The sequence below is a fragment of the Homo sapiens genome, chromosome 10, assembly GCF_000001405.40.
Source record: "Homo sapiens chromosome 10, GRCh38.p14 Primary Assembly".
Classification (NCBI taxonomy): domain Eukaryota; kingdom Metazoa; phylum Chordata; class Mammalia; order Primates; family Hominidae; genus Homo; species Homo sapiens.
In genome coordinates, this window is record NC_000010.11 from 27,515,160 (window position 1) to 27,542,453 (window position 27,294).

A 27,294-nucleotide genomic window follows, 5' to 3' on the forward strand; every position below is an offset into this window, starting at 1 on the left:
GACAGGATCACATGGTGGTCCTTAGGTACTTATCTAAGTAATTGGTAGCATAGATGGAATTGGTAAGCATGGAAATTAGATCCTGTAGAAATTAGTTATACTAATTTTATATAATCTGATTAAATAGGCACAATTCGCTTTAAGTTTTTTATTTTTTTATTTACCCTGTTTTATGTACCTTTTGACTATAAAAAGGGTGCTTTAAAAACTATTTTCAAATAAAAACCTAGAAAATGAATGTAAAACCATTTTTCTACTTCAGACTGGGTCACAACATATTTCTTAATCTATTTTAAGACTTATAATTGTTAAAATATGTGAAAATGTCTTTTGAGGGTTGGTATATTTCAACTACAGTTAGACAAATTGTGGTTGTTATGGGTTGATGTTATTTCCTTAGTGAGCTTTCAAAAATACCTATGACTTCTGCTGGGCACAGTGGCTCATGCCTATAATCCCAGCACTTTGTGAGGCCAAGGCAGGAGGATCACTTGAGCTTGGGAGGTCAAGGCTGCAGTAAGCTGTGATCGTACCACTGTATTCTAGCCTGGGTGACAGAGCAAGACCTGTCTCAAAAAAAAAAAATTTTTTTTCATGACAAACTTAAATAATATTGGAATTATCTGTTCTTTAAAGGTTACATTTTACCTGTTGAATCAATCTGATCCTCCTTCCTTCTTTATCATTCCAACCTCTTCAAGTTTTCTATTCTTAGAATAGTCTTGGGAGTGTAACTTGGAAAGTATTCATTTTCTCTTAAGATAGTTGCACATAGTATTATTTTAAACTTTTCATTATCTGTGATCGTGGCTCTTCATTTCTAAAATTGTCTATTTTTGTTGTCTTTTCCTAAGGAATGTATCTATTTTATTGTTTTGAGGATTGCTTTAATTTTTTTCCCTCGTTCTTCCTGCTTTTCTTTTGGTGTTATTTTTTTGGTTTGTTAAGATAAATATTAAGTCCCCTTATTTTTAATGCTTATTCTTTGTTAAAGATGTTCTCTAAGAACCAATTCTGTGTTCCATAGGTTTTGGTATGGAGTGTTTCTTTGTCATTGCTCTGGATACTTTGAATTTTCAGTTTAGTTTTCCCCTTTGAACATTTGAAATCTTTGGGCCAGGCGCAGTGGCTCACGCCTGTAGTCTCAGCACTTTGGGAGGCCGAGGCAGGTGGATCACTGAAGGTCAGGAGTTCGAGACCAGCCTGGTCAACATGGTGAAACCTCCCATCTCCCCTAAAAATACAAAAATTAGCCAGGCGTGGTGGCAGGTGTGTGTAATCCCAGGTACCTGGGAGGCTGAGGCAGGAGAATCGCTTAAATTCAGGAGATGGAGGTTGCAGTGAGCCAAGATCGCACCACTGCACTCCAGCCTGGGTGACAGAGAGAGACTCCATCTCAAAAAGAAAAAAAAAAAAAGAGAGAAATCTTTGATTTCTATACCTTAGTCTATATTCCTTAGGCTATACCTTAGTCAGAAGGCTGGGGCTAAATCCAGCCTCCCAACTTCTAATTTGGAATTCTTTTAATTATTTCACAGTATATCAACCACAGATTTGACCTGAATGTCAAAGAATGCTAAATATAATTAAGAGGGAAGCAGTAAAAAAATATGTTAATTAATTAAATGTGCCTGGGTCCACTTCTCTTAATAATTCAAATTATCAGCTAGAGTTGAAAAAGAAGTAAGAAAAGGTTGAAAATAGATGAACCAGGCAAATGCAAAAATGCAAAAGTGGTATGGTAAAATGTAGCCTAAGTTAGGTAGAATTTAAGGTTAATGCACTGGACAGAATAAAGTGGATAGTATGTAATGCTGGCCCAGTAAATTAACTAAGCAGCTATAACAGTCATAAACAAGTAGGCACCAAACATAGAAGCTCTCTATAAAAGCTTCAAAACACAAGAAAAGAATTCAATGAGGGCCAGGTGCAGTGACTCACACCTGTAATCCCAGCACTTTGGGATGCTGAGGAGGGCGGATCACCTGATTTCAGGAGTTCAAGAACAGCCTGTCCAACATGGTGAAACCCTGTCTCTACTAAAAATACAAAAATTAGCCAGGCATGGTGGCTCACACCTGTAGTCCCAGCCACTCGGGAGGCTGAGGCAGGAGAATCACTTGAATCCGGGAGGCAGAGGTTGCAGTGAGCCGAGATTGTGCCACTGCACTGCAGCCTGGGCGACAGAGCAAGACTCTGTCTCAAAGAAAAAAAAAAGAATTTGATGAAAATACAGTAATATTAGATTTGCTGCATTTGTTTTGTAGATAGATAGACCCAAAAGATACAGATAAAGGCATAGGGAATTGGACTAACAAAATCAGCAAATCTTTTGAATAAAGACCTCACTACTTTAAAAGCCCATGGAACAATTATACAGAATCAATCTCAGACTTGACAACAACAAAGTAAATCCTCAATTGAAAAGAAGTAGAGGTTTTACAATACACATTCTTGATAATTTATTCTTTCAGAAAATATGTTTGACCTATTGTGTTTCTTACATATGAGTTCATAGCAGCATTTTTTAAAAAATTATACATTAAAGTTGATTTTTTTGGTATACAGTTTGATTTTTAACATATGTATTAAAACAAATGTTTATGGTCATATAATTGCCACCACCACAGTCAGCATACCAAATAGTTCCATCATCCCCAGAGCTACCTGGTGCTATCCCTTTCTGTTCTATTCTAGTCTGGTCCTCCTGCCTCTAACCTCAGCAGCCACTTACCTGGTCTCTAGTTTTATCTTTTTTGAGAATGTCATGTAAGTGGAGTCATATGGTATGTTACCTTTTTTTTTTTAATTATACTTTAAGTTTTAGGGTACATGTGCACCTCTGAGACTGCTTTCACTTAGCTTAATGCCTTTGAGCTTCATCCAAGTTCCTGTGAATTGTTTGTTCCTTTTTATTGCTGAGCTATATTCCATTGTGTGGATGTACCACAGTTTTAGTTGGTTTATCTATTCATCAATTGTGAGACATTTTTGTTGTTTCCAGTTTTTAGTGATTATGAATAGTCCTGTTGTAAACATTCAGGTATAGGATTTTGTATGAATACTAATTTTTATTTCTTTAGAATACATACCCAGTAATGGAATTGGTGGGTCATATGATAAATGCATATTTAACTTTGGAAAACAGTTTGGCCATATTTTTATAAAGTGGTTGTATCATTTTTACATTCCCACTAGCTTCATATGAGAATTCTTATTCTTCTATACCCCTCACCTATTATATATCTACGAGCAGCCTTATTTAAATTTTAACCATATTTTCAAATGAGTAAGTAGGTATGTGTTCAGATCTCATTGTGGTTTAATTTGAATTTTGCTAATGACTAATGAGGTTGAGTATCTTTTTAACGTCTATATGCACATTTATATAGGCTGTATATATGTATTTTTTTGCAGTGTCTGTTCAAGTCTTTCATTAATTTTTAAGTGGGTTTTTTGCTTTTTTGGGGGCTTTGAGAGTTTTTAAAATATATTCTGCATTTAAGTCTGTTATTAGATGATATATGCTTTGCAAATGTTTTCCTCCCAGTCTCTGGCTTGTTTTTTCATTCGTGTAAAAGTATATTTCTAACAGCATATGTTTTTTATTTTGATGAAATCTAACTTCTTAATTTTTCCGTTTATGGATGATGATTTCAGTGTTGTATCTTTTGCCTGACAGAAGGTTGCAGTGATTTTCCCCTATATTTTCTTCCAGAAGTCTTATAGTTTATAAAGTGTTACATTAAGTATAATTTTTTGAATTAATTTTTGAATACAGTGTGAGGTATGAAGTTCTTTTTTTTCCTTTTGCATATGGATATCCAGTTGTGCTAACACTTAGTTGAAAAGACTGTCCTTTCTACACTGAATTGCTTTTGCACTTTTGAAAAATTATCAGTTGATATGAAACATATGAAGAACAACACATAATAAACCAACAAAACGAAGTGGGGTTTATCCCACATAGGAAAAGTTGGTTTAACATTAAAAAAAAAATCAATGCATACTTCACTACTTTAAACTAAAAAAGAAATATCACGTAATCATCTCAATAGATGCAGAAAATGCATTTGAAAAAAATCCATCATGTATTCTTGATAACATCTTTCAGTAGACTGTGAATAGAAACCTGATAAAGGATATCTATAAAAAACATACAACTAACATCATACTTAATGATAAAATAAAGAATGTTTTCCCCTTAATATGAGGAACAAAATAAGAATATAAGCTCTCACCACTTCGGTTGTACTAGAAATTTTTAGCCAGGGCAGTAAGACAAGAAATGCATCCAGATTGGAAAAGAAGAATGTAAAAATCCACAGGAATACAAAATCCATATTTATAGTATCAATTGTGTTTCTGTTTATTAGTAATGAATAAAAGGAAGATGAAAAATTTAAATACAATTTTAGATAAAAATCTACGGAATACCCAGGGCTAAATTTACCGAAATTTGTCAAAGACCTGTAATACTGAAAATTACAAAATACTTTCAGATTAATTTTTAAAGACCTAAATGAATGGAAAGATATAACTTTTTCAGTAGCCATAAGATTTAATATTGCTAAGAGGTCAGTTCTCCCCAAAGTGATCTATAGATTCAACATAATCCCTATCAAAATCCCAGCAGGCTTTTATTTTTAAATCAACAAGCTGATTCTAAAATTCACTAGGAAATGCAAAGGAAGTAGACTAGCCAAAACAACTTGGAAAAAAACCAAAGCTTTATCACCATTGAGTATGACATTAGCCATGGGTTTTTCATATATGGTGTATATCATGTTGAGGAAATTCCCTTCTATTCCTAGTTTGTTGAGTGTTTTATCATGAAAGGGAATTGAATTTTGTCAAATGCATTTTCTGCATCAAGATGATGATCATGTGTTTAAAAACCTTCATTCTTTTAATGCGATGTATTACTTTGATTCATTTTTCTTAAAGTTCAACTGTTCTTGCATTCTGGGAATAAACTTGATTGATTACTGATTCAATCTTCTTACTAGTTATGGGTCTATTCAAGTTTTCTATTCATGAGTAAATTTTGGCAGATTGTGTATTTGTTAGAATTTGCCCATTTAATTATGTTATCCATTTCGTTGACATAACGGTTGTTCATAGTATTCTCTTATGATCCTTTTTTTTCTGTAAAATTGGTAGTAATGACCCTGTTTTCATATCTGAGTTTTGTAATGTGAACCTTTTCTCTCACTCTCTTTTTTTTTTGAAGTTAATCTAGTTTAAAAGTTTGTCTATTTTGTTGATCTTTAAGAAAAAACAACTTTGGTTATCAGTTTTCCTTATTGTGTTTTATTCTCTAATTATCTTTGCTCGTATTATTTATTACTTCTGCCCTGCTAGCTTTGCACAGAGTTTACTCCTCTCTTTTAGTTCCTTAAGGTATAAAGTTAGGTTATTGATTTGAAGTTTTATTTCCTTTATAATATATTCATTTACAGCTATAAATTTCTGTGCCGGGCATGGTGGCTCATGCCTGTAATCCCAGAACTTTGGGCGTCCAAGGCAGGCAGATTACCTGAGGTCAGGAGGTCGAGATCTGTCTGGCCAACATGGTGAAACCCCGTCTCTACTAAAAATACAAAAATTAGCCAGGCATAGTGGCGGGCACCTGTAATCCCAGCTACTAGGGAGGCTGGGATGAGTAAACCACTTGAACCCAGGAGGCAGAAGTTGCAGTGAGCCGGTATCGCACCACTGCACTCCAGCCTGGGTGACAGAGCAAGACTCCATCTCAAAAAAAAAAAAAAAAAAAAAAAAAGAAAATTTTTTTTTCTCTTAACATTTCTTTCACGGCATTCCCTAAATTTTAATATATTGTATTTTTATTTGTCTCAAGGCATTCTCTAATTTTTTTTCTGTGATTTTATTGGTTGTTTAAAAGGGTATTGTTTCATTTTCACGTATTTGTGAATTTGCCAGTATTCCTTCTGTTATTAATTTCTAGGTTTATTCCATTGTAATCAGAAAAATGGTTTGCATGATTTCGGTTTTTTAATATGTATTAAGACTTGTTTTGTAGCCAACATATGGCCTATCCTGGAGAATGTTTCATGTATACTTGAAAAAAATTTGTTGTTATACGGAGTATTCTGTTGGCTCTAATTGGCCTTCAAACCCTTTGTTTTCTGTTGATAATATATCTCAGTACACTATTCATAATTGGAAGTGGTGTATTAAAATCTCCGACTGTTTATCCTGTGAAAAAGACACTTTCACATGCATGTTTATAGCAGCACAATTCACAATTGCAAAAATATGGAACCAGCCCAAATGCCCATCAATCAATGAGTAGATAAAATGTGGCATATGCATACCATGGAATACCACTCAGCCATAAAAAGGAACAAAATAATGACATTTGCAGCAAACTGGCTGGAACTGGAGATCATTATTCTAAGTGAAGTAACTCAGGAATGGAAAACCAAACATTGTATGTTCTCATTTATAAGTGATAGCTAAGCTATGAAGACACAAAGGCATAAGAATGATACAGTGGAACTTGGGGACTCGGGGAAGGGTGGGAGAGGGATGAGGGATTTAAAAAACTACACATTGGGTACAGTGCACACTGCCCGGTTGATGGGTGCACCAAAATCTCGGAAATTACCCTAAAGAACTTATCCATGTAACCACATACCACCTCTTCCTAAAAACCTATTGAAATAAAAAAAAAATAGGATAAAGTATATGGGAGGATTTAAAAAAAAAACAAGAGGGTGATGTGCTCTGGTTCTGCAGGGAGAGGAAGGGGAGACGCATGGAAGCTCCGTGTTTGGGACCCTCCCAGACCTCATCCTTATGTGTTTCTCTTTTTGGTTGGTCCTGATATTGTATCCTTTGTAATGAAACTGTAATTGTAAAAATCTAAATAAAATGTAATTTGTGGGGAAAAAAAAGACGTTTTGGAATTCAGTCAGGCAATAAAAATAATCAGTATTTTCAGTGGAGGGCTTGTGTTTAGGAAAATAAATAAATAAATAAATAGAATCTCTGATGGTTGTAACACTATTTTTCCATTTAATTCTATCAAGTGTTTGCTTTGTATATATTGGACTTCTGTTCTGTGGTGTATATGTTTATAATTGTTGTATCTTCTTGAGAATTGGCCTTTTTATCAAAATATTTTGTTTTAGTCTCCTAACAGTTTTTGACTTAAAGTCTATTTTGTCTGATTTTAGAATAATTACCTTTGCTATCTTTTGGTTACTATTTGTATGGAATATCTTTTCCTGTCCTTTCACTCTCAACCTATATTTGTTTCTAGACCAAAAGTGAATCTCTGATAGAAAGCATGTAGTTGAATTTTTAAAAAGTATTCTGCCAATCTTTTGATAGGAGAGTTTATTCTATTTGCATTTAATATACCAATAAGGAAGGACTTCTGCCATTTTGCTATTTATTTCCTTAAAGAGTTTTTGTTCCTGAATTCTTACCATTACTGCCTTCTTATCTGTTTAGGGATTTTTCATAATAATATGCTTTGACTCTCTTCACATTTCCTTTTTTATCTATATTCTATATATATTTTCTTTGTGATCTATTTCAGTAAATTCTGGTAGCTTTTAATCTTTCAAGGAAATTGTCCATTTTTATCTGAATTGTCAAATTTATTGGCATAAACTTGTTCATAACATTCTGTCATTCCTTTAACTTCTGTACAATCTATAAATGGTGTGATTTTTTTCATCCTTTGTAATGATTTTTTTTGTCTTCTTTTTCCTGATCAATTTGACTAGAAGTTTATCAGTTTTATTGGTTTTCTTTTAGAAGCAACTTTTGGATTCATTGATTTTTGTTGTTGTTTTTCTGTTTTTAATTTCTGGTTTGAACTTTATTTTCTTTCTTCTACTTCTTCGGATTTAATTTGCTGCTTTTTCTATTGTCTTAGTTTAGAAGCCTAGGTCATTGATTTTAGATCACTTGTCTTTTCTAATATGGGTGTTTAGTGCTATAAATGTTCCTATTAAGTATTGCTTAAGTGGCATCATACAAATTTTGATGTTGTTTTTCTTTTTGTTTAAAATATTTAATTTAAAATACTTAGAACAATTTCATTATGATGTCTCCGAGTTTTTCTTCTTCTTTTTTTTTTTTTTTTTTTTTTTGCTAGGGGCTTATTGAGCTTTTTTGATCTGTGGATTTATATTTTTCATCAAATTTGAAATTTTTCAGCCATTATTTCTCAGATATATTTTCCCCCCTTCTCTCTTCTTTTTCCTCAACTCCATTGTTTGCATAATAGGCTGCTTGAAGTTGTCCCACAGATGATTGATGGTCTCTCATTTTCTTTGAACCTTTTCTTTCTGCTTCCTTTTGGGTAGTTTCTGTTGCTGTGTCATCACATTCACTGATGTTTTCTTCTGCAGCGCCTAATTTGCTGTTAATCCCATCCAGTGTATTTTTCATCTCAGACATTGCCATTTTTACCTTTTTTTTTTTTTTTTTTTGAGACAGGGTCTTGCTCTGTTATCCAGGCTGGGCTGCAGTAGCACAACCACGGCACATTTCAGCCTCGACCTTTCAGGCTCGATCCATCCTTGTACCTCAGCCTCCTGAGAAGCTGGGACTACAGGCGCAAGCCACCATGCCTGGCTAATTTTAAAAGTTTATTTTTGGCTGGGTGCGGTGGCTCACGCCTATAATCGCAGCACTTTGGGAGGCCGAGGCGGGCGGATCACGAGGTCAGGAGATTGAGACCATACTGGCTAACACGGTGAAACCTCGTCTTTACTAAAAATACAAAAAATTAGCCGGGCGTGGTGGCAGGCGCCTGTAGTCCCAGCAGCTTGGGAGGCTGAGGCAGCAGAATGGCATGAACCTGGGAAGCAGAGCTTGCAGTGAGCCAAGATCACTGCCACTGCACTCCAGCCTGGCCAACAGAGCAAGACTCCGTCTCAAAAAAAAAATAAAAATAAAAATTTATTTTTGTCAAGACGAAGTCTCGCTGTTTTGCTGGGGCTGGTCTTAAACTCCTGGCCTCAAGCGATCCTCCCACCTTAGCCTCTCAAAGTGTTGGAATTACAGGCGTGAGCCACTGTGCCCAGCCCATTTTCATCTTTAGAAAGTTCTGTTTGATCCTTTTTTATGTCACTCATGTCTACTTTTTGAACATGTGGTGTACAGTTGTAACATCTGTGTCAGTTCTGAGTCAGTTTCTATTGATTGATTTTTCTCCTCTTCAACAAGATGTGTGCTTCTGCTTCCATTAATATCTTCTGGTCTCCCATTCACATATATCTACTGTTGAGTTCATATTTTCTTTGGCCTTTTTCATGAAGGTTATTTTAGTTAAAACTAGATAATATAGTTAATGGAGCCTTTGAAATAAGCAGTAAGTGCAACATGAAAATTTACCAGTGTGCCTAAAAAAAGATTCTTGCAAAGAAACTGAATTAAAGATCATATTAAAAATGCAAACACAAATGAACAAGGAAAAGCTGAGATGACAGTTCTTCTGTTTCTGTTGTGAGCTCCATGTTATCCACATGAAGAGATTGAAGACACAGTTTAATCAAATTGGGTAAGAAACTGGCAAAATCAAATCTCTCAAAAAGACTCCCACTGCTGCTACCAATTAAGATAAATTATCAGCCACTTAACAAAAGAGAAGCATGATGAAGAAGCAGTTTTAGCATGTGAGATCTGAAGAGCTCAATTGCTGCATGTGAGATTCACCAGAGGAACCTAGGGAAGATGACTGGGGACTTTAGGGGTCTGGATTTAGATTAGGTGCCCCTTCAGGCTACCTGTGTCTGTTGGCTTTGATGGCAGGACGACAGTGTTCAGTGTCTCCTGTGGATGGGTATTGGTAAGTTTCAGATATAATATGTCAAAAGCATAACTTAGAGACATTGTTAGTTATCCACATGCAAATTATTCTTATGTCAGAGACAGTCATTAGACTGTTCACAACAAACTTGCAGAACCAGGAAATAATAATAGAGAAAGAGGAGTTGGGGTATGGGAAGAAAACACATACATTCTGGAAGCGGTGGGTTTCTTTTCTTGGGTAAACAAATTAGCTCATAGGAAAGATGCTTGTCTGCTCTTGAACATGTATCTGGGATTATTAAGGAAAAAAATTAGTTCTTTATATACTCCCTGAAAAACCTTGAGAATTTAACTGTAGAGTGTGCATGACAGAGGCTATCTCTGTGTAGTGTCTGCCAGTGGCTGTCATTTAGTACCTGCACCAAGTCAGAACCATTTTCCTCCTCTGAATTTTCTCAGGGTTTGTGCTTTGCTTTTTTTTTTTTAAAGCAATAGGAAGAAAATGTAGATAATTTCATGTTGTTTATGTAGATGGTTCCACTTTTAAAATGGCATAGTAACTTCTTTATTTAGACCTGGTTAATACAAGATTATTTAGCATGTGGGATTTTTTGTTTGTTTGGCTGTGAAGAAATTTTATATTTAGGTTTTTGTTGGGCTATGTAATCAACACTGTCCTTTTACTAATGGTTGCCCATCATTCTAGGCTTTATCAACTCCTTTATCACCCCAGCTCAAAACACCAAACTTAAAAATATATATATTTGGTATACAGAAAGACCTGGCATAATGCACATTTTGAATGTGCATTTTTATTACTGAATTTGTATATGTAATGGATCACCACAAGTCTTCCAAGAATTACAAATATATTTCCATATTGGTGACAGGTGTTCTATTAAGCATTTAGTATGTGAGGGTGCTGTTCATCTTAGTTGGGGCTGTTCTGAATTAATTGTGACAAGCTAATAAGATATTTTGAAAGTTTCTTTCCAAGCTTCTTGAGCTAATGTTTTCCCTCTGGCCAGTGGGGTAGACTGAACTCTTGAAAGACATGTGGGCAGTTGCTGTTCATTTAAGCCAGATGGCATGTGTCAACTCCTTTTCCTGGAAAGGGAGAGGTTTCTTTTTTGGCTGCTGTAATAAAGCCTTGTGGACTTCTTATGAAACTCTTTTCTTTACATAAATTAGTACTTATAGAAGCTTTTCATAGAACTTTGGGCACTCCTCTTTCACTTATGAAGATTCTTAGATGGTTGTATATAAATGTTTTCATGTATAAATTGTTTTATTGAAATTGTGCTGTAGCAAGTTATTGATTAGGTTATTACATAAAAATAGTATTTTTTTAGGATAAAAATAAAGAGATTATATGACAAGGAGTGAGTGGCCCTTTAATATTTTTACCGGTTCCCCAAGCTGCTTACAGTCAAGATCTGAGTTAGTGGTTGGCTGGCAGTGGACAGCACTCTTAACAGTAGCATGTGGATGCTTAGGGAGCCCCTGGAAGCTGCCATGACCCACAGTCAGCCATGGATAGTCTTCTTTATGTGAGCATTGTAATTGCAGCTCTTGACTTTTAACACGCATAGTGAGTTATCACCTTAAATTGAATTTCGTTTTTCCTTTTTGGAAGAATAGAAGGTAGGTGAGTGAGTGAATTCTACAAGCATTTGATTTTCATTTATCCTGATTAAATCCTAAGATCCTGGATTTTAATGACACTTTTTATCTCCACATCCAGAATTCTAAGAAGTTGGGGTGTGAATTGGGCATTTGATAATAGTGACTTTTCTGTTTTCTGGTTTTCTTGGTAATGGATTTTAAAAGTCTGTTTTACTGGGAGACTTATCAAAATTTTCATTTCTTTAAGGTGTTGACTTTAAGGTGAAAACAATTTCAGTGGATGGAAATAAGGCTAAACTTGCAATATGGGTAAGAGTTTTTAAAATGTATTTTTAAAATATTAAACTTTACTTTTTAAGGATGCAGAAATTGATTTGTGTAGTGTTCTAGAGGTGGTGAATGAACAATTTGTATTAAATAACTTTTGGGAGATTTGATACTGATTAAAGGATAAACAGTAATGTCTTATAATTGGGTAATTAGGCAGCTATGTTTTGTTTAAATTTTCACAATGCATAATTCTTTATGAATATTTCAAAACAGAACAGAATATTAAAAAATCATCTCATCTGCCAAAGAGAATCATAATTGGATATGTTTCTTTGAAGTTTTAAAAAGACCATCTAGACTGAACTAACACTAAAGACAATTTTTAAGGGGAGGAGGAATGACGTGATATTTAGGAAAAAATTTTATTTTTCTTGTTTGTTAGTATAGATATTTATAAAATTTGAGGTTTCAAACTTTGGGCTTATTTTTAATGCCTCGTTTTTCCTTACTGGCTTCTTTTCGTTTTCCTGTCAATCCAACCATTCTGATCCCCGTTACTGTACTAGCTAGACCGCTCATGCTAGTGTCAAATAAGGTAGCATTAACTGTCAAAAATATCCAAGATGCTTAGTGTCTATGTTTGTCTCTCTCTGTGTCTCCCTTTCATCAGTCTATTTACCCACCCACATACCGATCTATCTATATCTGTCTATCTAAATATGATCGGTTATATATATATATGTATATTCTAAATATATACTGTTTTATATATCTATTTTTCACATAGACTGTGATAATTATACATATATGTTTGTAATATAAGAAATCATATTAGAACTGATCAGTCATCAAATCGAGACTTATTTCCACATGGTGGTTAAATGGTAAATGCTGTTTGTACATCAGTCACAGATTGAAAACAGCAAGTGTTCATGCATTGTATGATGTCATATTTCTTGGCATTCTCTGAATGGCACACTGTTTCTAATACACATTTATCCCCAAATAACAAATAATTGTGTAAGTGTGTTTAATGTTTTTATGTCAGTTTTTCCTAACATACAATACTTTAAATTTGTTAACCTGTTTGCCCCTTTCCCCCAAATATGTTTAATATCAATCAGAACGGTAATGTCTAACAGAAAACAATTTGGAAAATGTTGGACTAGAGTATGGTAAAATGTGTTGAACGATATAAGAATGTTGGCTTTTTCCATACTAAAGTGGGGGCCTGATTTCCATATGCTTTTCATGGTTAATTTATTATCCCTTTCCGGCCTTGCTGCTGCTTTGTGAAATCCGTAGATTAGAGTAGTATCTGAGACTTGCTGGTTGCAGTGAGATTTTTCTCTCATAGTTTCGTTTTGTTTTAAATTTATTTTCTAGTTCCTGCCTAATAAAAAGGCTGGCAGGTATTATTGAAGAGACATTTTTACCATAGGCCTATAAACATTTTTTAAAGAAGAGAGGTTTTCCCCCTGGCTGTAAGAATAATACAGGGTCATTCTAAAAGGGATAATTGAGACAATAAGAAGAGCAGAGAAGAACATCTATAAAAGTATACCACTGAATACATTTTAGTGAGCATTCTTTAAAATATCAAGGGATATGTATACATACCACTATACATACCAGTATGTGAGTTTTCCAAAACAAAGGGATTATATTATATCTTACATTTTTAAACCTGTTTGTCCTCCTTTCCTACCACCTCACCCCCACTCATAGTATGTGCTGTATCCGTTTAGATGGCCAGCTAGTATTCCGTTTCATAGCTGTACTTTAGTCAGCCTTCAGTGAGAGATACTTACATTTTTGCCAGCTTTTCACAAAGATTACAGCTCTTTGAGCATCCTGATTTATACGTCTGTGTGTACTTGTCCAGTTACTTTAGAATGTGTAGCTGGAAGTAGAAATGAATATGAAGTCTTCACATTAATGTACACCAAAAAGCCTTTTTTTTCAGTTTATACTCCCACCAATTGTATTCATATTCATTCTGCCACATCCTTATCTCTACTGTTATCATTCTTTCTGTTTTTGCCTCTGAGTGTTGCTGTTTTACTTATATTTGCATTTCTTTTGATAAGAGATTTTTGCCTGTTTATTGATCATTTTAAAAAATAAGTTTTCTTTTTACATATTTTACCCATTTTATACGTTAGCATTCATCTTTTTCTTCATTAAAGTCTTTATATAATAAAATTATTAGCTCTTTGTCATGTGGTACAATTTTCTAAGCTATCATTTGCCTTTAAAATCATGTATCAGTTGAATATATGTTTGTGTTCTTGTGTGTGTGTGTAATACTGCCATATGCTACAGATTTTTTTTTCCAGTTTGTCATTTACCTTCCAATATTGTTAAGGATGAATATGGGGATGGGGAGGTGAAGAGGAGGTAAAGGGTGTTCTTGTCATTTCAAGGTTTTAATATTTATATGGTTGGATCAGCTATTTTCATCATGGCATTTGGGTGTAACGTATTTAGGAAGGCGTTTCCTCTGTATTAGAAATATATGAATCCATAGTTGCCTAATTCTTCTATAGTTTTATTTATAAAATGAGTTTCTCTCCTACTTGGAAGCTTCTTCTAGGATGAAATAGAATAATTAAGCATAGCCCTGCCCCTCCTACCTCCTGAAAGTGCATACTCATCATGACCTTGTTTTCTTCTACTGCCTTTTCCTATGTCCTTGCTTCACTTTCACTCCCTACATCTATTATTAAGCCTTTCTAGATCTTTCCTAGCCCTGAGTTTATCTATATATCTTTCAGTAATTTCTTCTCTCCTTCCCCCATCAGAAAATAAAACTACAGGATAGAGACAAAAAGCTGTGCTTCATTTATCTTACAAAGATGTTATTATACCTACCACATATTCCTGTTTTGAAAACAAACACAAGCAACAATCTAACTTCTATTTAAGCATATACACTTTATAGTTACTATAAATCCTGATGCGATGCTATTGCACATGGTTCCCTCCACCCCCTAAATTATAACACCTATTTAAACACTTTTGTAAGTGAATCCAAAAATGGCAAGCCTCTAAACATCTGGCCTAATTATTAATAAATATTCACAAGCAAAGTTTCAAAGTCAAGTGTAATATTTCAACATTAAAACTTTCTTGCTATGGTTTTTACTTTTAAAACATCAGGATTTATGGATATTTTAACTGGAATTGCAGTTCTGATTTTTATGTTGTGTTTCATTAAGGCAGTTTTTGAAGTTGATCTCAATGAAGACCAGAGAGAACAAAGTTCATGTTCACTTGTTTTTCTGCCAGCTCTGGAAGTTATGGATACAGTTTCCTTATGCAAATAGAATAAACTTTCTTCCTGTTATCAAAAAGTCTTGGGGCTAAAATATTTCATACTTGGTCCTTGCCTCAAACTATTTGTTATGAATATAGAACAGTGTTCCATGTATGGAAAAATAGCTGCTTCTTAAATTTCCAAATTCACTAATTCACTGTATAGAAAAATAGCTGCTTCTTAAATTTCCAAATTCAGTAATTCACTGTTCCAAATCCAAGGCTTGTCTTTTCAGTAATGGCTTTTCCTTCTTTTTTTTTTTTCTTTCTCTCTAAAACAGATAGTCTGTACTACTAAAAGTTAAATGCTTAACATGGTGCAGTTCTCAAAGTTATAATGTATCTGGATACTGAATAATTTGAATATTACTAATTTGTCATTTTTTGCATGTAAGCAGATAGCTAGGATACGTTCTCATAATGATTTGTCATTTAAAAATATACATTTTTTATTGAGTATGAATCAGATTGTCTGAAATAGGTACTAGTACAAGGCTATGAAGAGCATTTCTAGTTTCTTATTATATATATTACCAATTGCTTCCTAAAAGTGGTGACACTTTTACTGATACACATAGTAATCATTTTACTATGATATGCATAGTAGTTACATCTTTTGGCTTCTAGTTGATTACTTTTTTTTTCCCTGCAAATTTGGGTTTTGATTACTTGAGCATAGTGATCAAAAAAGATCACTGGGCATCCATATACCGTTTCATTAATGATTAATGGACTACAATATTGACTTGTCTCATGTTATCAAAGTTATAATCTGCTTTATATAGCAAGTTCACTTTGCTTTAAACAGCTTTTAATTTATATTATTGTTCTTGAAAAGGTGAGTAAATATGCAAATTGAATAATTTTAAAATCCAAGGCAGGTTTTGTAAGAAACTTAGAGGCAGAGAGAATTTTTGTAAAGAGAAAAATTATTTATTTTATAAATTTATCTGTTCAGAACATTTACTTTAAATCTGTTAATTCTTCACTTAAGCATGGCAGGGTGGGGATTAGTTTCTGTGGTGGTAAGGATCTGGAAGGAAAGGCTTTCAAATTTATGTAAGTGTATCTGTGGAAGAGTGGTGAATGTTCAAAGTGGTTTACATTGAAACGTTACTTTCCTCTTAAGTTTCTCTTCTGGGGTTATAAATGACTGCAGATCCTCCCTACTGTCTTGCTGAAGCCCCTCACGCCCCTGGTTTGAATTCTTCTCCAATCTTATAAACCTCTTACAGGTTATTCTAACATTTTTATATCTGGGGGAGCTTCTGCTTGTCCCATAACAAACCCTCATTTACAGCAGTGGGACTGGTAGCTAAGTTGAGGTTTGATACATGTTTTTACTTTTACTTTTCTTTAGGTTACTTTGCATCAGCAGACTGCAAACTTTTTCTTAAAGAGCCAGATAGGAAATAGTCCAATCCTGAAGTGGGCCATGTGGCAATACGTAAGCAAATAGGCCTGCTGTGTTTCAATAAAACTTTATTTAATAAAACAGGTGGTGGGCTGAGCTGCTTTGTATAATCTTAGGTACCTTGAATCCATAGTCCAAGGATGGTAGAAAGACAAGAGAGAGAAGGAATTGGGCCCGGAAGTAAAGGCTTGTTAAATAGGTTCATTCTTTTTTTTTTTTCTCAACAAATTCTGAGCAACTGCCTTTTTTCAAGAATTGGTCTCAGCACAATGGTTAAACTGGTGATTAAACAGATGAGTCCCTGCTTTATGAAATTTACATTTTCTACCTAGTGTACATTGTTCACTAACCCTAACATGAGTCAGAAATAACATGTAATAAAGAATGGCTTGGTTATATGCATTTTCTCAAAAGGAGATACATAGAAAACACTTAAAAGAGCCCAACCTAAAAATCTGTTACCTAAAGTAAGACATCCCATAATTTTCTTCAAATCAGTGGTTCTCAGCCTTGATTCTACATTAAAAGCACCTGGTAAGATTTAAAAAAAAAAAAATTCCTGTCATTACCTTAGACCAATTAAGCAGAAATTTTTTGGAAGCTAGACTCAAGATTCCCAGAAAATTTCATTGTGCAGCTGGAGTTTAGAACCATGGGTTTCATTTCATGTATGATAAAAGTCTTAAATTCAAAACAGCAGAAAACCTTTACATAGTTTCATTTTTCTAGAGATCAGTATTTATAAATAATTTTATTTTGTGACACTTGTCAGTAAGCGAACACATCTTATTTAAGTTCCAGTTTTTTAATGAGCTCATGCATTAATACTATTTTTAGTAATGCTGTTTGACTTTCTACTCTTAAACTAGTATATTGAAGGTCTATTTATACTTTGTTTAATTTAATAATAATGATCATTTTTAGGATACTGCTGGTCAAGAGAGGTTTAGAACATTAACTCCCAGCTATTATAGAGGTGCACAGGGTGTTATATTAGGTAAGTGTTTACTTTAATGTACTATTTAAAAATATTTATTGGAGTTTCTGATTGTCCTAGTCTGTGAAAGTTAATATGTCTTTGTTTTACTTCTCGTTAGAGCTACTTTTATGTAACTTGTAGTTGTATTAACTTCATGTAATATTAATGAATATTAAAACTTTTGATTTTAGTCTTGTCTAGCACTTAAAAAATAGACAAGGCTAATTTATTTGGTTTGAAAACACATGTCAATGAGAACGTAATTGAGGATTAATCAGCATATGTTGGACTGTCTTGGAGTATTACAGAAACTGGGCTTCTGTTATCAGCATATTAATATTTGCTGTAGTTTATAAAGGACGAAAAGTATTTGTTGATTAGTAGAATCTGCTTTATTAGTCCTAAAAATATCACAAAGCACTTAACACTATTGATTTATAATCAAACAAAATTTAGAAACCAGATGTGGATTCTCAGTGTAATTTGTTGAAAAGTGCTTGTTCTTGATATTCCTGGGAAACTGTTTAAAATGAATATTGATCAATTGTATTAATAGGTAGAATTCTCTTTTTTTAAATATTATGGCTTGGTAGTGACAGCCTTTTGGTTCAGCATCTCTTGAGTTTATAAAACACTTTAATAAGGTTTTTGTTATAATGCAGAATGACATAAGATGAAAGTGATAACAGGAAGACCACCAGGAACCCATCTACTAACTGTACTACAATTTTTTCAAAGCTGTAAATTTTGGTTCTTGTAATAAACAAATTAATGGGGTCATAGATGTTTACATTCATGTATTTTTTTTTTAATATTTTGCCACAGATTTGAATCTAAACACTCTGGTTTTTGGATAGACCTCATTCATCATTATGAATGGGAATAGCTGTTGTTTTGCTTTAATGGGTATTAAATGTGTTTTCACTTATTACACAGGATATAATTTCATTTCTGTGACAGTATATGTTAATAGGATTGAAATGTGTATGCTTTAAAAAAAAAACACTTGTTTCTTCCATTTGGATCAGTAGACACTCAATATTAATCGTTGAAGACAATAAAAAAAAGACTTGTCTATATTGCTTAGTAATGCTAACTCCTAGCTACATATCAGAAATACGCCATTGCTTCTTTCTTTAATGCTTATTTAACAAATGACTCCTTTTATTTCAGTTTATGATGTCACAAGAAGAGATACATTTGTTAAACTGGATAATTGGTTAAATGAATTGGAAACATACTGTACAAGAAATGACATAGTAAACATGCTAGTTGGAAATAAAATCGATAAGGTAAGAAGGCAGACACTTGGCATTTTGGTTCTATATTTTGGTAGCCTTTCTTAATCATTGCATTTATATTTTAGGAAAATCGTGAAGTCGATAGAAATGAAGGCCTGAAATTTGCACGAAAGCATTCCATGTTATTTATAGGTAGGTGTGTGAATGAATATCTGTCCTTTCATTATTAATGAGGAATTTTTGAATGGAGTTTTTGCCAAGTTTATTTCTTTATGAACCATAAAATGTGTTTAGAGTATTGTTCCTAGTTGCCTTGTGTTACAAAATCTAACTATATAACAAGGTTCTTTATTCTTCTTCCTGTAAAATGTATGATCATATTATGTGAAATCATATTAAAAAACAGTCAAATCATTCCTCACAGGATATAGTGGCATTCAGTAAAGTTTGGCACCCAGTGCTAAAGTTATGCCTTGCTGGTCCATATGCTGATACCATCAGCACCACCTGGGAGCTTGTTAGCAGTGCTTCAGCTCAGGCCCTACCCCAGATTTTCTGAATTAGAATCTGCATTTTAACAAGCTCTTCATATGGTTTGTATGCACATTAATTTTTGAGAAACATGGTCCAGCAAGAGTTGCCAAACTACAGCCTGGTCCAAATCTGGCCCCACCATTTGTATTGGTACACAGCCATGTCCATGTGTTTACATGTTGTCTGTAGCTGCTTTTGTGCCATATGGCAGAGTTTAGTAGTTACAACAGAGGCCATACGGCCCACGAAGCCTAAATATTTTCTATCTGGCCCTTTACAGAAAGAGTTTGCCAACCCCTCATCTAGAAAATTGGATGAGCTATGTCAGAATCACCTGGGCCCTGTGCCTTATTACAGGTTTGAAAGGCAGTTTATTGAAAGCACTCTAGTTGATTCTGATGTGAAGCCAGCTTTAGGAATTACGGATTTAACCATTCCATGGCGTTAGAAGCTACCAGGAATCTGCAAATGAAGTTGAGAGGACTTCATATATAGATAAAAACAGAATGGAATTAGTGGAAAGTATTGAGATTTTCAGAAAGGAATCGAGTACTTTTACTTGCTGTATGTCCCTCATTTCCATACATTAGTTTACCCAATATTTATTGAACACTCAAGATGTAACAGTGGACAAAACTGACAAACTTTCTGCCCACATGGAGCTTACATTCTAGTAAGGGAGACAGACTTAAATAAGTAAGTAGTGCTATGAAGGAAATAAAACATTATAAGGGGAGAGAGAATGACTGGAGTGGGGACTGCTTAGGGAAAGTTCTTAGAGGCTGTCCCATTTGAGCAGAAATCCCTCAGGTGAGGATCTAGAGCAAGCTTGTCCAACTCATGGGCTGCATGTGGCCCAGGATGGCTTTGAATGTGGCCCAACACAAATTTGTAAACTTCCTTAAAACATTATGAGATTTTGTGCTTTTTTTTAAGTTCCAGCTATCATTAGTGTTATTGTATGTTATTTGTGGCCCAAGACTATTCTTCTTCTTCTAATGTGGCCCAGGGAAACCAAAACACTGGACACCCCTAGTCTAGAGGGAGATCATCTCAGGCTGAGAGAGGAGCAAATATTTCCTGAGGTGGGAATCAGGCTACTGTGTTAAAGGAACAGGAAGAAAGCGTGTGTACTGGAGCATAGAGTGTGTTAAGGAGAAGGCAGATGGTGAGAGATGCCATTCAAATGGTAAAGAGATGGATTGTATTCCAATTGTGGTGGAAAGTAGGGAAGCAGCGGTGTGACCTGATACTCTAAAAAGATCCTGTTGTGTAGAAAATGGACTAGGGGAAACAGAAGCAAGAGACTAGTTCTTCTCTTGCAGTGGCCCAGATGAAGGAAGAAGCGGTTTGACTGTGTAGCCGTAGAGGGTGGTAGAAAATTGGCAGTTCTAGGAGATACAGTGAAGGTATAGCTGACAGGATTTGTGGGTGGATTGGGTATGGAGGATAATTAAAAAGAGCAATCAGGCGGGTGCAGTGGCTCACGCCTGTAATCTCAGCACTTTGGGAGGCCGAGGCAGGCGGATTACGAGGTCAGGAGATCGAGACCATGGCTAACACGGTGAAACCCCGTCTCTACTAAAAATACAAAAAATTCACCGGGCGTGGTGGCGGGTGCCTGTAGTCCCAGCTACTTGGGAGGCTGAGGCAGGAGAATTGCTTGAACCTGGGAGGCGGAGCTTGCAGTGAGCGAGATCACGCCACTGCACTCCAGCCTGGGCGACAGAGCGAGACTCTGTCTCAAAAAAAAAAAAAGAGAGCAATCAGAGATAACTCCATGTTTTAGGCATGAGCAGTGAGGTAGATTGTGCTGCCAATAATTAGGATGTGAAAGATTGAGATAAGAGCAGGTTTAGGGTAGGGAAGTGAGGAATCAAGAATTTCACTTTGACATAAGAATGAGACATTTTTCCGATAACCGGTGGACATGGTGGTCATTGGCATTTAGGTGGCATTCAAGGTCATGTGATTAGAGTGGTGACTTCAGGAAAGAACGTGGATAGAAAAGGGCTGAAGAAGCCTGGGCAACATAGTGAGACCTCATCTCCAAATAAAATCAGCTGTGTATAGTGGCATGTGCCTGTGATTCCAGCTGTTCTGGAGGCTGAGGTGGGAGGATCACTTGAGCCTGGGAGGCCAGGGCTGCAGTGGAGCTCCCACTGCACTCCAGCCTAGGTGACAGAGTGAGACCCTGTCTCAAAAACAAAACAAAACAAAGAAAATGGCAGAAGATTGAACCCTGGGGGATTCCAGCAATTAGAGGTCAGCAGAAAGAGGAAGTGCCAGCAAACAAGGCTGCACATGACATGTCAGTGGGCTCAGAGGATTTTCAGGCATGTTCAGTGTCCTGGAAGTCAAGGGAACAACTTGTTTAAAAGAAGAGGAAGTGATTAGCAGTATCAGATACCAAAGATGTCAAATAAAATTAGGATATTGGATTTGACAAGATAAAGGGTGTTGGTGGTCTTGGAAAAGAATGATTTCAGTGGAGTGGTGGGAATGAAAGCCTAATTAGAGTAGTTTGAAGAAAGAACGTGAGATAAGAAGGTAGAAACAGCTTATGTGGATAACTCTTTAGAAGAGGTTTCAAAGAGAGTGGAGAAATGGGTGGCTACAAGAAGGGCATGTGGCCTAGAGAGCAAGTTTGTTTTTTAATAGGATGGAAAATAATTCGGCAGACTTTTAGGCTGATTGGTATGATCCAGTAGAGAGAGCGTTTGGTCCTTCGGTGAATGAGAAGGGATGGGACTCCAGGAACAAAAGAAGGCGATGGCTTGGATAGCAGCAGGGACAGTTTATCCATTCTCACAGGAGGGAAAGCAGAGCATGAGGATACATATGCAGGTAGCTTGGTAAATTTATTAGTGGGATGATCAGGCAGTTCTTGCCAGATTGCTTCTGATTTTCTCAGCATAATGCAGCTAGATTATTAGCTGCGATAGAGTTTTGAGAGGAAGGAATAAAGTACTCATCTCAGACGGTGAGAAAGATCATCACTAAGGAAACGCAGGGTTGGAAGCAGTGCTGAGTGTCCAGTTGAGTTTCATGAGCAAACATTTGCTGTGGGACCAGTTTTCATGGTGGTTTGTCATTTTGTCCAGCTGCCTGGAGCTGCTTGGTTGAAGGCACAGAATAATCAGATTAATTGTTTAACTTGTATGAATTTCTTTATTTTAAAATAGGAATAATATCTGCCTTGGGAGCAAGTTGTAAGAGTTAACTGAAAGCTTAAGGAAAAAACTTTCGCTCGCTATTTAAGTAGGGCTTTACAAGTTACAATTCTATCACAGTTTTAAGATTATAAACCAGTGTTTTTTTGGTATAAAATTATATACTAGTATTCTTATGGATAGAATTTAATTAGCTCAATTTTGAGATTTGGAAATTCACTAGTTATTGACCTTTGGGGAAAAATTGCTGATTTGGATCTTAATATATTGTAGGCTGATATTTATGCCCTGATAGTTTCCCAGAAAAACATGAGAATATGGCCAGAAAGGAATATACTATGAATGACCTTTTTCCTTGAATTTCAGAGGCAAGTGCAAAAACCTGTGATGGTGTACAATGTGCCTTTGAAGAACTTGTTGAAAAGATCATTCAGACCCCTGGACTGTGGGAAAGTGAGAACCAGAATAAAGGAGTCAAACTGTCACACAGGGAAGAAGGCCAAGGAGGAGGAGCCTGTGGTGGTTATTGCTCTGTGTTATAAACTCTGGGAAATTCCATCTCTTGCATATTTGATCAGATAGTGACATCTTTCTGTATATAAACTCTTTAACTGCTATTTTAGGGACCTTGCAGTTTGCACATAATTGTTTTATATCATAGCAGTAAATATTTGCAAGAAATCCCACTCATCGACCCCGGGTAAAATGTTATGGTAAGCATGCACAGTTTGCAGTCTACAGTTTTTTTATGTAGCACAAAATAGGTGTACCTTTATAAGTACATTCAATTTTATGATTTACATTTATCATGTAATTTTTAAAAAAATCCATCTATCTAGGATATGTTGATACAAAGTCTGCTTTTGCTATTCTTTTTGCTTAAATACTCCTATCATTTTCTGAATTACTTGGTATTTAGAACTCCTAGCACCACGGGGAAGAATAGAGGTATCATCAAACGTGGCAAATTTTCTTTCAGGAATAATAAAGAGCATGATTCCACAGCTTTTCTGGGATGTTTGAGATTCTTTTTTAGTACTAAGCAAAATTCTCATCACAGAATGTAGCCCAGGCCAATTTATAACTAAATCTCTATTTGTTCGGATGATGCTTCTAAAACAGCATTGATAGGTTAAAGAAGCTTGGTATTTTTAATTTACTTCAATGATTAGCTCAGTTGCTTAACTGGAGTTTTAATCCTGTGATATGTACATTGGATTCATGACTGTGCAGCATTTTTAGTTATGTGGTGTTTGGCAGAATGACAATAAGGTTTTCCCCCATTTTGGTTTCAGGAGGACATGAATAGTGTGTTTATTGTAACTCCTCATACACTTTTAAAACCAACATCTTTTTTCATAAATGTTGGTAGTGTTTGTCCAGGTACCTTAACTGTAGCTTGTGTAATGTTGATGAATATCTGTATCTTACGGCTTCCATAATGGCTAGTTGATATTCAAAAACCTATTTCTGTGTTTTGAGGGGTGGGGAAAAAAAACACTAAGTGATAATTTGAAAAAGGCATATTGCTTCCAGATTCTGATGTGTGAGGGAAAATACTGTCACAATGAAAATCTTGACAATTTACTTAACAAGTAACCAGTAGTTCATCAAAACCAACTTGTACAGACTAATAAATCTTTTTCACAGTATTCAGTTTTCTCACCTCTTGCTATTGTATATTGTAGATTTTTTTCATTCATGTGTTATTTAATTTACACTGATCTCTGCTATTTTAACCCCCCAAATAAGTTATTTGTCCTTTAAGGTTGGTTACTATAATACCCCTCAGTAAGATTCCAGTATTAATTTCTGGGCAGTTTGTTCTCTGTATACAATTGCAAATGATAAGCATTTTTGTGAGTGACCACCTTTGCAATATGTTTGTTAATTTACTTCATGTTGGGTTCTTTCTGAAATGTACATCTTTACATATAAAAACCTCACATTCTACTTGATTTACACTTCCTAGTCTACATTACATGTGGTTGAAGGTTTTATACATTCTATATGCTTTTACTAAATATACAAGATTTACTACTAGAAATTTGGAGAAAGAACACTAACACATGTACTTGTGATTTGTTCATGTTATATTAAAACTTGAGATTTGTGTATTTATGTAGAGTCTGTATTGACAAGACTGTTGTTTTTTGCTCCTTGAGCTATATAATAATCTGTGTATTGGATTGTTGTCTTGATTTGGTCTAAATTTGAATATATATGAGTTACTTGAATATAACAAAAATGAATTTTGTTTGATAGATTTATATTGTAACCTTTTTCTAGTTCTTGAATAAATATAGCCTGCTTTCCCTAGATGCATTTGTGTAGGAAGTATATACATTTCCCTATTACTCTCATCAGCTGAAGAATATGTACTATTGTGTTACTCAAATTATGTGGCTTTCATTTTGTTGTTTTGTTGCAAGCTTAGTGTTTTGTAGTGGAGGTTTTGTAAATGAAACAGTTGTAATATCTAAGGTCAGGCACCTAGTAACAGGGTTTTGTTAATTCTTTTCAGAATCATTGAAGCAGTCTTAAAGGGTCTTTTGCAGATGGTACAAATTAGAACAATTAGAATATAGTATTTTGAGTTCTAGTAGTACTGAGATTGACCCAAACAAATAAAAAACTATTCAATTTCTGAGTAATAGTTAATATTTATTGAAAGCTTCCTTGGTGCCAGATGCCTTTCTAAGTGCTGAATTATCTCATTAAACCTCACAGCAACCTTAAGAGATTAGTACTCCTATTATGCCCATTTTAAAGGTGAGGACAACACAATGTAGGTATGTTAGGTAACCCCCAAAGATCACATAGCTACTCAGTCACTGAGCTGGATTCCAGTCATGGCATTTTTACTTCTGAGCCCATACTCTTCACCATCGCTCATTTTACAATGGGTAGTTAGTTACCAGCTTTTTGTAACACAACCAAGTTAAGGCAGTTCCACTATTTCTTTATCACTCTTTTGTTATATGTAATAGAAGTATTTCACACTTTTGGGTTATAGAGTAAATCCCATGATGTAAACCTACCTCATAAGTCATGTGACATAAAAGTTAAGGTAGTGGAGTAGGTGGTCTTATTTCTTTCACCTGCTCAGAGTGGACTGAAAATCCTGACTTAGAAAAGGTACAAAGTTAGGGGACTTATGGTACCTTCACTTTTTATGTGAGAATAGAAATTATGGAAACAGTAATTTGCTCAAAACTGAAATCTGGGGTGATGTTTTCATTTCATGTATTTGATTGCCATCCATAAACTCATACTTGGTGTTGACATTCTAGCTGAGTGTTGTGGAAATAGACTTGATTTTGATTCATCGTAGCTTGCATGGTCAAGAGACATGATTCTCTACTAAGGGTGGGGCTAGCACCATAGCTCATAAAAGAATCCTTCTTACACCAGTACTTGTTCTGCCTGTGAGTTGGCACAGACTTACCTAATAACCATAGTGTCTTTAAGTACAACTTAATACATATTTTTTCTGTGTATTTTTTTCAAATGAACTCAACAATTCTTCAGGTATTATAGATCAGAGATCCTCTCCATATTCAAGCATTATGCTTCTCTTTCTTGGGGGTACATTTCACTAGTAATACTTAGGAAGTTATTTTGTCTTTCCTGTATTTCCCTAGTTAAGTATAGGGGTAAAAACGTTATTCAGCTTTCAGAAGACATTGTTCTGACTCCGACCCTGCCGTGTATACTCAACTATATAGACTTCACCCTGGGTTTTGCCTAAACTGTTGAAAGACGAGAATAAATAGACATAGACAGGCTAGCTAAGTCAAGACTAGGGGCTAAGGAATATAGAATCACCCAGGTCTTTTTTTTTTTTTTTAATTTTTCTCTCCTCAGTTGGGAACATCTATCATGCTGGAGGACTACTGTGATGGGGCTTTACATTTTACTGTTTTGTTGCTAGCTTATTGTTTCATACTTGGGAATCAGTCATGTTTCTGATTGTGGTATAAAGTTTGCTTAAGTGCCCCTTAGTTAAAGCTGTTCAATGAATGTAAGCACACACACACCTACACACATATTTTGAATAGTCGTGTGTTCATGCCTGTTCTCAGTCTTGTCCCCTTTACCGTTTCTCATGCAGGTTATTTCTTGCTTTTTTTTTTTTTCCTCTTTTTTAACCGGAGAAGCAACAAATTACGTAGTTTTTTTTGTGTTTCTTTGATTACTAGTGAGCTTGAGTACTTTTAATATTTTATTGGATATGTTTGTGACTGACTTTAATTTCTTGTTTGTGTGTGCTGTGGCTGCCCGATCCAGCACCTACTTCCTTCTCCCACCATACCACCCCCACCCCCACCCCTGCAAACAATTGGCATGTGGTTTGGGTGGCATTGTCACACCCTCGGCTTTCTAGATTAACCCAGTTACCTTTTAGCAGTGCCCCACTTCCCCAGTAGCAATGGTTCAGGGGTAGGCACCTGACCCAGACCAGACTACTGAGATAAAGATGTTTGCCTAGGCTTTTTCAGGAGCAATTGAAGACATCTTGTTGGAGATAGTGTGCTGGGAGGAGTCACATTCTGAACTTGCTGCAGCTCGTTTTTCTAATATAAAGGAACCAGCCTGAGGCAGTACCAGGGTGAGAGGGAGTCTATTGGAGCCCTTGGGAACTTCTGGATCAAATTGGACCTGAATTGAGATCTATTTCTCAGCTTTCACTTATGTGAGCCAATAAATTCCTTTTTTGTTGAAGGCAATTTGACTTGGATTTTCTTTTTTCTTGCAACCAAATATAAGTAGTGTGAGAATGTGTGTGTTTTTCTTATTTACAGAGGTGCTCGTACGTCAAGTTAGTTACATCAGTAATAGATTGTTTGCATAAGGAAGAAAAAAAGTAAACCACTTGAAAAGCCACTACTCTTAAATAACTATTAACATTTTAGTGAGAATACTTTTACGTATTTCTTTATG

At 35.2% G+C, this 27,294-nt stretch overlaps 1 protein-coding gene across 5 annotated transcripts in view, besides 1 other annotated feature; it reads left to right on the plus strand.

Moving 5' to 3' along the window:
- Window positions 1–27,080, plus strand: part of RAB18 (RAB18, member RAS oncogene family) — a 37,936-nt gene extending 10,856 nt beyond the window's left edge. Inside the window, exons 3-8 of one of the 5 annotated variants that reach the window (NM_001256410.2) lie at window positions 11,669–11,730; window positions 16,370–16,456; window positions 17,348–17,420; window positions 18,576–18,694; window positions 18,769–18,835; window positions 22,717–27,080. In NM_001256410.2, the coding sequence (NP_001243339.1) occupies window positions 11,669–11,730; window positions 16,370–16,456; window positions 17,348–17,420; window positions 18,576–18,694; window positions 18,769–18,835; window positions 22,717–22,892 (584 nt within the window). In that variant the 3' untranslated portion in view covers window positions 22,893–27,080. The remainder of the gene's footprint in view (window positions 1–11,668; window positions 11,731–16,369; window positions 16,457–17,347; window positions 17,421–18,575; window positions 18,695–18,768; window positions 18,836–22,716) is intronic. The other 4 variants (NM_021252.5, NR_046172.2, NM_001256411.2 and 1 more) reach the window with 4 other exon arrangements.
- Window positions 8,261–8,762: an enhancer, noted in NCBI's record as "H3K4me1 hESC enhancer chr10:27812349-27812850 (GRCh37/hg19 assembly coordinates)". NCBI's record gives its function as "activates a minimal SCP1, AML or CMV promoter by ChIP-STARR-seq in naive H9 embryonic stem cells {active_cell/tissue: H9 hESC(naive)}" and the evidence as "EXISTENCE:reporter gene assay evidence [ECO:0000049][PMID:30033119]".